The following is an 11,813-nucleotide window of genomic DNA, read 5'->3' as shown; positions in this document are numbered from 1 at the left end:
GGGCTCAAGCAATCATCCCACCTTACCCTTCCAAGTAGCTGGAACTAAAGGTGAATGCTACTGCTCCTGCATATAATAGCTGCTTTGAAGTGTTTGTCTGCTATGTCCAAAACATAGACTCTTTCAAAAGCACTTTCTGTTGTCTCCTTTTTCTCTTGCATAGGAGTCACATTTTTCTGTCTCTTCACATATTTCATATTTATTTTTGTTGAAAACCAGACATTTTAGATAATGTGTTGTAGCAGTCCAGATACTGATTCTCTCCCCCAGGAGCTGTTGTCTTTCTTACTTGTATATGTGTTTAGTGGCTTGGCTGGACTATTTTAATAATGTGTATTTCCCTGTAGTATATACCATCTTTTATACTAATGTTACTTTTCCGATAGTGCAGCCTTGGGCATGGACAGAGTTATCCTGGGATGACAGTAACTTTTAATAGGGCTCTCTATGACTATCTCTTTCCCTGATGTCCCTGTTAAGCTATCTGCATCTCTTGGTATCACACCTAGCCTTTGACTTCCACTAATTGTTTGATCATTGCCTCACTGTTTTTGGCAGTGCCCTAAGGCATAAAGTGTTCCACAGTCTGATATAATTAAATTCAGATTCTTACAAGAGTGGTCTTTGAGGCCAGTCCTTGAGGTTTGTTCTGACTCTGGGAGGGCTCAGATGTTTCCCTCACCCCCTCAATCTTGTCTGGTAAACTTCTATCTGGGCTTTAGCTTGCTCTCATAACACTACCAGCTTCCTCTTAATTGCTTACTATTAAAATACCAATTATATTTGAAAGTACCCTTATGCTTGAACTTCCCCACTCAACTGTTCCAAATACAATCAGTTACTTGGGGAAAGCTTCAAAGTTCCTCTTTGTTCTTACAATCTTCCTCTCTCTCTCTGGGCAAACCTACATGCCAATTATGTGGAGATGGAGTCAGGGACAGTGGCCCCCTTCCCTTGGCATGACACCTCTGCTTTACTAGCAGAGCACTGGGTGGGGGCAATAGCCTCTGGTCTTCTTGACTTGCTTCTCCTGGCATGAAAACTCTGCCCTAACAATGAGCTAAGGCAAGTAGGTCCCCAGTATTCTCGGCTTGTAACACATGGGGTAGAGCCTCTGCTCTAGGAGTGGAGGCTGGGAGGAGAAACTGCCCCATTCTTTTTTGATTTTTGAGACAGGGTCTCACTCTGTTGCCCAAGCTGGAGTGTAGTGGCATCATCTCAACTCACTGCAGCCTTGACCTCCTGGGCTCAAGCAGTCCTCCCTCCTCAGCCTCACAAGTAGCTGGGACTATAGGTGTACACCCCCATACCTGGATAATTTTTTTTTTATTTTTGTCGAGATAAAGTCTGGCTATGTTGCCAGGGCTGGTCTTGAATTCCTGTACTCAAGCAATCCTTCACCTTGGCCTTCCAAAGAGCTGGGATTATAGGTGTAAGACATGCTTTGCGAGAGCCCTATTGTTGCCTACAATAAAGCTTCTGTAACACAGAGCTAAGAGAATGAGAAAAGTTGGAGGCCTGCCCCTCATGGGGAGACGCCACAGTTCTAGACTGGAAAATGAGAAAGAAGAAGCTCTGTTTCTTGGCCACATCTCCTTGGAATGAAGCTTTCATCATGCTGAGCTATGGGTAGGGGAAGACAAGATTGTGGCTTAAATGCCACAGAATCTCAAAGTTCTTACCAAGATTTATTGGATTTTCTTAAATAAATGTTTTTTCACTTCCAGTGATCCTTAGGACAATTTCCAGAGCTTTGAAATGTTTTTTTAGTTGTTGTTTGTTTTTTATATTTTTTTCAACTTATCATTTATGGTAATTTTTTGGAGAGAGAAGGTCTGTGGAGCTCCTTTAACCACCATGTCCCCTGTGTTTCACAGATGAAACAAACAAAAGAAGACTCCAAAAAGTGAAGAGAAGGCACACTAGTTAGGGACTTTGGGATTCAATGCACTGAGTTTGCTGGGTTTTCTTTTTGGCTTATATATCCCAGGCCTGGAATTGAAGAATATGGTAACACAGAAACATCAATTGACACAGACTAAAGAGTCCTACCCCCAACTCACCCCTCAAAAGCCTGGTTGCTTTAGCTAGAGAAAACTTATAAAAATTCATAAAAAGTAACTGCTGTACTGCAGTGAAACACCATGGAAAAATCTGTAACTTCATCCTGACTTCTATGAATTAAATTGTACCCTCCCCCACAAAATTCATATATTAAAGGCTTAACCCTGTGAACCACAAATATCTGAGACAGATCTCAGTCAATTTAGAAAGCTCATTTTGCCAAAGTTAAAGATACGTGCCCATAACACAGCCTCAGGAGGTCCTGATGACATGTGCCCAAGGTTGTCCAAGCACAGCTTGAATTTATACATTTTAGGGAGATATGAAACATCAATCAATATATGTAAGATGAACACTGTCTTGGTCTGCAGAGGCAGGACAATTTGAAGCAAACGCAGGACAACTCAAAGTGGGGAGGGGGTTTCCAGGTCATAGGAAGGTAAGAGACAAATGGTTGCATTCTTCTGAATTTCTGATTAGCCTCTCCAAAGGAGGCAATCAGATATGCATTTATCTCAGTGAGCAAAGGGATGACTTTGAATAGAATGGGAGGCAGGTTTGCCCTAAGCAGTTCCCAGCTTGACTTTTCCCTTTAGCATAGAGATTTGGGGGCCCCAAAATTTATTTTCCTTTTTTTTCCCCACTCTCAGTTCATCTATTTATTATTATTACTTATTTATTTATTTATTGTTATTATTATACTTTAAGTTCTAGGGTACATGTGCACAACGTGCAGGTTTGTTACATATGTATACATGTGCCACGTTGGTGTGCTGCACCCATTAACTCGTCACTTACATTAGGTATATCTCCTAATGCTATCCCTCCCCCCTCCTCCCACCCCACAACAGGCCCCAGTGTGTGATGTCCCCCTTCCTGTGTCCAAGTGTTCTCATTGTTCAATTCCCACCTACGAGTGAGAACATGTGATGTTTGGTTTTTTGTCCTTGCGATAGTTTGCTGAGAATGATGGTTTCCAGCTTCATCCATGTCCCTACAAAGGACATGAACTCATCCCTTTTTGTGGCTGCATAGTATTCCATGGTGTATATGTGCCACATTTTCTTAATCCAGTCTATCATTGTTGGACATTTGGGTTGGTTCCAGGTCTTTGCTATTGTGAATAGTGCTGCAATAAACACATGTGTGCATGTGTCTTTATAGCAGCATGATTTATAATCCTTTGGGTATATACCCAGTAATGGGATGGCTGGGTCAAATGGTATTTCTAGTTCTAGATCCCTGAGGAATCACCACACTGTCTTCCACAATGGTTGAACCACTTTACAGTCCCACCAACAGTGTAAAACTGTTCCTATTTCTCCACATCCTCTCCAGCACCTGTTGTTTTCTGACTTTTTAATGATCGCCATTCTAACTGGTGTGAGATGGTATCTCATTGTGGTTTTGATTTGCATTTCTCTGATGGCCAGTGATGGTGAGCATTTTTTCATGTGTTTTTTGGCTGCATAAATGTCTTCTTTTGAGAAGTGTCTGTTTATAACCTTCACCCACTTGTTGATGGGGTTGTTTTTTTCTTGTACATTTGTCTGAGTTCTTTGTACATTCTGGATATTAGCCCTTTGTCAGATGAGTAGATTGAAAAAATTTTCTCCCATTCTGTAGGGTGCCTGTTCACTCTGATGGTAGTTTCTTTTGCTGTGCAGAAGCTCTTTAGTTTAATTAGATCCCATTTGTCAATTTTGGCTTTTGTTGCCATTGCTTTTGGTGTTTTAGACATGAAGTTCTTGCCCATGCCTATGGCCTGAATGGTATTGCCTAGGTTTTCTTCTAGGGTTTTTATGGTTTTAGGTCTAACGTTTAAGTCTTTAATCCATCTTGAATTAATTTTTGTATAAGGTGTAAGGAAGGGATCCTGTTTCAGTTTTCTACATATGGCTAGCCAGTTTTCCCAGCACCATTTATTAAATAGGGAATCCTTTCCCCATTGCTTGTTTTTTTCAAGTTTGTCAAAGATCAGATAATTGTAGATGTGTGGTGTTATTTCTGAGGGCTCTGTTCTGTTCCATTGGTCTATATCTCTGTTTTGGTACCAGTACCATGCTGTTTTGGTTACTGTAGCCTTGTAGTATAGCTTGAAGTCAGGTAGTGTGATGCCTCCAGCTTTGTTCTTCTGGCTTAGGATTGACTTGGCAATGCGGGCTCTTTTTTGGTTCCATATGAACTTTAAAGTAGTTTTTTCCAATTCTGTGAAGAAAGTCATTGGTAGCTTTATGGGGATGGCACTGAATCTATCAATTACCTTGGGCAGTATGGCCATTTTCACGATATTGATTCTTGCTATCCATGAGCATGGAATGTTCTTCCATTTGTTTATATCCTCTTTTATTTCATTGAGCAGTGGTTTGTAGTTCTCCTTGAAGAGGTCCTTCACATCCCTTGTAAGTTGGATTCCTAGGTATTTTATTCTCTTTGGAGCAATTGTGAATGGGAGTTCACTCATGATTTGGCTCTCTGTTTGTCTGTTATTGGTGTATAAGAATGCTTGTGATTTTTGCACATTGATTTTGTATCCTGAGACTTTGCTGAAGTTGCTTATCAGCTTAAGGAGATTTTGGGCTGAGACGATGGGGTTTTCTAGATATACAATCATGTCATCTGCAAACAGGGACAATTTGACTTCCTCTTTTCCTAATTGAATACCCTTTATTTCCTTCTCCTGCCTGATTGCCCTGGCCAGAACTTCCAACACTATGTTGAATAGGAGTGGTGAGAGAGGGCATCCCTGTCTTGTGCCAGTTTTCAAAGGGAATGCTTCCAGTTTTTGCCCATTCAGTATGATATTGGCTGTGGGTTTGTAATAAATAGCTCTCATTATTTTGAGATACGTCCCATCGATACCAAATTTATTGAGAGTTTTTAGCATGAAGGACTGTTGAATTTTGTCAAAGGCCTTTTCTGCATCTATTGAGACAATCATGTGGTTTTTGTCGCTGGTTCTGTTTATATGCTGGATTACATTTATTGATTTGCATATGTTGAACCAGCCTTGCATCCCAGGGATGAAGCCCACTTGATCATGGTGGATAAGCTTTTTGATGTGCTGCTGGATTTGGTTTGCCAGTATTTTATTGAGGATTTTTGCATCAATGTTCATCAGGGGTATTGTTCTGAAATTATCTTTTTTTGTTGTGTCTCTGCCCGGCTTTGGTATCAGGATGATGCTGGCCTCATAAAATGAGTTAGGGAGGATTCCCTCTTTTTCTGTTGATTGGAATAGTTTCAGAAGGAATGGTACCAGCTCCTCCTTGTACCTTTGGTAGAATTCGGCTATAATTCCATCTGGTCCTGGACTTTTTTTGATTGGTAAGCTATTAATTATTGCCTCAATTTCAGAGCCTGTTATTGGTCTATTCAGAGATTCAACTTCTTCCTGGTTTAGTCTTGGGAGAGTGTATGTGTCGAGGAATTTATCCATTTCTTCTAGATTTTCTAGTTTATTTGTGTAGAGGTGTTTATAGTATTCTCTGATGGTAGTATGTATTTCTGTGAGATCGGTGGTGATATCCCCTTTGTCATTTTTTATTGCATCTATTTGATTCTTCTCTCTTTTCTTCTTTATTAGTCTTGCTAGCAGTCTATCAATTTTTTGGATCTTTTCAAAAACCCAGCTCCTGGATTCATTGATTTTTTGAAGGGTTTTTTGTGTCTCTATCTCCTTCAGTTCTGCTCTGATCTTAGTTATTTCTTGCCTTCTGCTAGCTTTTGAATGTGTTTGCTCTTTCTTCTCTAGTTCTTTTAATTGTGATGTTAAGGTGTCAATTTTAGATCTTTCCTGCTTTCTCTTGTGGGCATTTAGTGCTATAAATTTCCCTCTACACACTGCTTTGAATGTGTCCCAGAAATTCTGGTATGTTGTGTCTTTGTTCTCGTTGGTTTCAAAGAACATGTTTATTTCTGCCTTCATTTCATTATGTACCCAGTAGTCATTCAGGAGCAGGTTGTTCAGTTTCCATGTAGTTGAGAGGTTTTGAGTGAGTTTCTTAATCCTGAGTTCTAGTTTGATTGCACTGTGGTCTGAGAGACAGTTTGTTATAATTTCTGTTCTTTTACATTTGCTGAGGAGTGCTTTACTTCCAACTATTTTGGTCAATTTTGGAGTAAGTGTGGTGTGGTGCTGAGAAGAATGCATATTCTGTTGATTTGGGGTGGAGAGTTCTGTAGAAGTCTATTAGGTCTGCTTGGTGCAGAGCTGAGTTCAATTCCTGGATATCCTTGTTAACTTTCTGTCTCCTTGATCTGTCTAATGTTGACAGTGGGGTGTTAAAGTCTCCCATTATTCTTGTGTGGGAGTCTAAGTCTCTTTGTAGGTCTCTAAGGACTTCCTTTATGAATCTGGGTGCTCCTGTATTGGGTGCATATATATTTAAGATAGTTAGCTCTTCTTGTTGAATTGATCCCTTTACCATTATGTAATGGCCTTCTTTGTCTCTTTTGATCTTTGTTGGTTTAAAGTCTGTTTTATCAGAGACTAGGACTGCAACCCTTACCTCTTTTTATTTTCCATTTGCTTGGTAGATCTTCCTCCATCCCTTTATTTTGAGCCTATGTGTGTCTCTGCACGTGAGATGGGTTTCCTGAATACAGCACACTGATGGGTCTTGACTCTTTATCCAATTTGCCAGTCCGTGTCTTTTAATTGGAGCATTTAGCCCACTTACATTTAAGGTTAATAGTGTTATGTGTGAATTTGTTCCTGTCATTATGATGTTAGCTGGTTATTTTGCTCGTTAGTTGATGCAGTTTCTTCCTAGCCTCAATGGTCTTTACAATTTGGCATGTTTTTGCAGTGGCTGGTACCGGTTGTTCCTTTCCATGTTTAATGCTTCCTTCAGGAGCTCTTGTAGGGCAGGCCTGGTGGTGACAAAATCTCTCATCATTTGCTTGTCTGTAAAGTATTTTATTTCTCCTTCACTTATGAAGCTTAGTTTGGCTGCATATGAAATTCTGGGTTGAAAAATCTTTTCTTTAAGAATGTTGAAAATTGGCCCCCACTCTCTTCTGGCTTGTAGAGTTTCTGCCAAGAGATCAGCTGTTAGTCTGATGGGCTTCCCTTTGTGGGTAACCCGACCTTTCTCTCTGGCTGCCCTTAACATTTTTTCTTTCATTTCAACTTTGATGAATCTGACAGTTATGTGTCTTGGAGTTACTCTTCTCAAGGAGTATCTTTGTGGCATTCTCTGTATTTCCTGAATTTGAATGTTGGCCTGCCTTGCTAGGTTGGGGATGTTCTCCTGGATAATATCCTGCAGAGAGTTTTCCAACTTGGTTCCATTCTCTCCATCACTTTCAGGTACACCAATCAGATGTAGATTTGGTATTTTCACATAGTCCTATATTTCTTGGAGGCTTTGTTCATTTCTTTGTATTATTTTTTCTTTAAACTTCTCTTCTTACTTCATTTCATTCATTTGATCTTCCATCACTGATACCCTTTCTTCCAGTTGATCAAATCAGCTACTCAAGCTTGTGCATTCATCACATAGTTCTTGTGCCATGGTTTTCAGCTCCATCAGGTCCTTTAAGGACTTCTCTGCATTGGTTATTCTAGTTAGCCATTCATCTAATCTTTTTTCAAGGGTTTTAACTTCTTTGCATTGGGTTTGAACTTCCTCCTTTAGCTTGGAGAAGTTTGACCATCTGTAGACTTCTTCTCTCAACTTGTCAAAGTCATTCTCCATCCAGCTTTGTTCCATTGCGGGTGAGGAGCTGTGTTCCTTTGGAGGAGGAGAGGCACTCTGATTTTTAGAATATTCAGTTTTTCTGCTCTGTTTTTTCCCCATCTTTGTGGTTTTACCTACCTTTGGTCTTTGATGATGGTGATGTACAGATGGGGTTTTGGTGTGGATGTCCTTTCTGTTTGTTAGTTTTCCTTCTAACAGTCAGGACCCTCAGCTGCAGGTCTGTTGGAGTTTGCTGGAGGTCCACTCCAAATCCTGTTTGCCTGGGTATCAGCAGTGGAGGCTGCAGAACAGCAGATACTGGTGAAAAGCAAATGCTGCTGCCTGATCGTTCCTCTGGAAGTTTTGTCTCAGAGAGGTACCCGGCCGTGTGAGGTGTCAGTCTGCCCCTACTGGGGGGTGCCTCCCAGTTAGGCTACTTGGGGGTCAGGGACCCACTTGAGGCAGTCTGTCTGTTCTCAGATCTCAAGCTCCATGCTGGGAGAACCACTACTCTCTTCCAAGCTGTCAGCCAGGGACACTTAAGTCTGCAGAGGTTTCTGCTGCCTTTTGTTCGACTGTGCCCTGCCCCCAGAGGTGGAGTCTACAGAGGCAGGCAGGCCTCTTTGAGCTGCGGTGGGCACCTCCCAGTTCGAGCTTCCTGGCCACTTTGTTTACCTACTCAAGCCTCAGCAATGGCGGGCACCCCTCCCCCAGGCTCACTGCTGCATTGCAGTTCGATCTCAGACTGCTGTGCTAGCAATGAGCGAGGCTCCATGTGCGTAGGACCCTCCAAGCCATGCGCAGGATATAATCTCCTGGTGTGCCATTTGCTAAGACTGTCGGAAAAGCACAGTATTAGGGTGGGAGTGACCCGATTTTCCAGTTGCTGTTTGTCCTCCCTTCCCTTGGCTAGGAAAGGGAATTCCCTGACCCCTTGCACTTCCCGGGTGAGGTGATGCCTCGCCCTGCTTCGGCTCATGCTCAGTGTGCTGCACCCACTGTCCTGCACCCACTGTCTGACAATCCCCAGTGAGATGAACCCAATACCTCAGTTTGAAATGCAGAAATCACCCGTCTTCTGCGTCGCTCAAGCTGGGAGCTGTAGACTGGCGCTGTTCCTATTTGGCCATTTTGGAACCGCCAATTTATTTTCTTTTCACCTTCCCACTTTTCTTTTGAAAATCTTTTGGAGAAAGCATTTTAGAAGAAAATGAGTCTCTGGTTTCAGGTTTTGTCTCATCTCTCATGGCTAGGATGGTTTATTCCTAGATGAGTAGGTCCCACATTATTAGGAAAGCTCAATTTTAGCACTTTGTGAAGTCTCATGCCCTATGAAGATAAAATAGGTGGAGGAAGGGAGAAAAATAACAACAGAAAAAGAACACTTCTGGAAAATCAATATAGGCAATATTACTCAAGTAATATTGTAGGCAGGTATAAAAGTGTCTTATGTATGTAAATAGGTTGCTGTTATTTTCTTCTGACATATAAGTTGTCTAGTTTCAGTTCACAGGGCTTTAAGAAAACATGGCTTAGTTTTCAGTGATTTTAAATTAGAAAAAATGTAAGAAGAAAACAAAGAAGGAGAAATAATTGAAAACATTATTTTGGAGACTTATTGCCAGGAAAAATTAGAATTCAGTCTACATTGTAGAAAATAATAAAAATCGAAAAACATTAGGCAAGACCAGAATCTAACAACTGGTGCACTATAACTCTTGAAACATAATTTTTCTATCTCTAGTTTCCCATTTTTTCTAAAGACAAATCATGGTAGGACGAATTTGCCTTATTATACTTGGCCAGAATATTTGTATAAAGTGTAGCAAGAATAATTATTTTTCACATAGGCTTTTAAAATTACCTTTGATGGAACTTTGTTCCATAGAAGGAATCTCAGATAACACTTTTTTAAAGCTGAGCCCAGCCATGGATTTGTACCATCAAATACCTATGAGTTGGGTAAATTCCTCTCCTTTTTAGGTCTCATGATAACTTGGGGCTCCTGAGCCTGTCAGAAAGTGACATTCTTTACTTACCACAGATCAGGAACCCTGTAGAGGGACTGTGTAGACAAGTATGAGGCTAGTTTTCTCAAGGGGCTTTTATTGGCTCTATAAATCAAGTTTGAGTCCTTAAATGAAAGCACACCATTCCAGTCAAAGCCTTGGTAAAATAAACAGTTTCTCCAATGGTGTCCTGTTGCAAAAGACAGCATTCTTATTGTGCTTATGCAAATAACTAAATTGCTGTAAGTTAACAATACTCACAAATAGTTTCCAAATTCTGGAGAAATCATGTAAAGAGAAATATGCTCCACATTTTGTTCTTAGGAGTATACTAAGTTGTTAAAAGCTGTCAATAGCTTAAAAAAAGTTTCCTTGACTCTGAAAAAACAAAACAAAGGATCAGCAACATTTTAGGCAAAAAGTAAAAAAGATTACTTCAGTCTTCTATTAGTTCAGTCTATAGAGTTAATTCCTGTTCTGCTTGATATTCATGAACATTTCAGCTCTCCATGAGTCCTGAAAGGTTTTCCTCTATTCTCATGTCACAATCTCCAAAGTTATCAGAACCCTGCATTCAAGAACACCTGTTAGAGTTTTATAGCTGATTATAAAACCATCTTCTAAAGAGGACCAAAACAAGACAACAATTGTTCATGGATGACAAAAAGTTTTAGGCAGCCATAGTCAAAGAAACAATTGACAAGGAAATCTGTTACCTCTGTGGCAAAAAGTAATTTAACATGACAATTATAATTATATCTGATAACATACACTAAAAGTCATATCAGAATTATAAGAGTTTCCTATAATTGTATAGAAATTTTATAAATATATAATGTATGTATACAAATACAGCCGAAAGAAAGCCAAATACCATTTCATATGTGACAATGCTTCCTGTATGATTTTGATACTAAATAAGCCAAATATGTAATTTTTGGACTTTACAGAACCTAATATCTTAAAGGATTAATTGTATCAGAAAAACACATGATTTATAATTTGATTTGGGAAGTTTGTCAAATATCAAATGTTTAAAACACTTGATATCACAAAATAGGATCACAGGTCATTGTAAAATAAGTCATTTATTTAACCAAAGTGATAACTCAAGGATTTCAAAAAAGGCAAAAAGCCTTCATTGTTCGAGAGAGGAGACATAATTTTCCAAAAAAAAAAGCCCTAATTAAGACAGCATGGAGCCAATTAAATTTTTTTCAAAATTTTATAAATGATCTATAGAATTTTAATCATCTCGGCCATAAGATATAATTTCCATAAGCCTTTTAAACCTTTATAACCTTTATTAAGGAATTGGTTAATGCGTCAAGAAAACCTTGTTCATCAGACACAGGGGCAAATATTCCAGTCTTGCATCAGTGTGCCTTTGATATTAATGGTTAATTTATATAGAAACTGAAGTTATTTTATCTCTCAAAATCAGCCCTTACAATCTCACCTGCCCACCTCTTCCGTGACAGTCTCTGGGCCTTGAGGAGTTGAATAGCTTTAATTTCTGGCTGTGTGTCTCATGAACACAGTGTACTTTGATTGGCATCTTCTATGGGGTCTGAAGATGAGGCTTTAACTGCTGTCAGTATTAAGATTTAGCAGGACTTGGTGACCTTTTAGACCCAGGTGTCAAAGCCCTTTAACTTAATGGCATAGGACTTTAATGGACATATAGAAAGTTCCAGGAATATAATAACTTTAATTTAAATTTTTTTAATCTCAGTTTTTTTCTAAGCAAACCCAACTTAGTAGTAATGATACAGAAATTATTTAGATAAAGACTAAGATCTGTTTATTAGGCCAGTCACTCAAGGCAAGAGAAAAGAACTACTGCAGTGTGACTGCTGTTTCCTATGGGGAATATTATGTTAGAAGGAAACATTTCCTTTAGACCTTTAATATAAAACTTTTTTTTTTAAGTGTCAGGCCCAAGTTAGAACCTGAAGAAAAAAACTTACAGGATCTGAAAATGAGTTGAAGGATAGAGTTATTATTTCAGGCCTTTTAAGAGGGGAGAGAAAGCTGAAAACAGTGAGATGCAGTA

The 11,813-nt window shown here is 39.6% G+C and overlaps 1 long non-coding RNA gene across 1 annotated transcript; it reads right to left on the bottom strand.

Moving 5' to 3' along the window:
* Positions 1 to 1,318: 1,318 nt before the first annotated feature.
* Positions 1,319 to 10,135, bottom strand: LOC124901114 (uncharacterized). The gene is made up of 3 exons (XR_007059001.1): positions 10,019 to 10,135; positions 8,796 to 9,077; positions 1,319 to 1,992 (listed from the first exon to the last, which is right to left on the bottom strand). It is a non-coding gene; the product is annotated as an uncharacterized LOC124901114 (long non-coding RNA).
* Positions 10,136 to 11,813: the final 1,678 nt, after the last annotated feature.

Source organism: Homo sapiens, chromosome 5 (genome assembly GCF_000001405.40).
Source record: "Homo sapiens chromosome 5, GRCh38.p14 Primary Assembly".
Lineage (NCBI taxonomy): Eukaryota > Metazoa > Chordata > Mammalia > Primates > Hominidae > Homo > Homo sapiens.
This window is presented reverse-complemented; position numbering and strand designations above follow the sequence as displayed.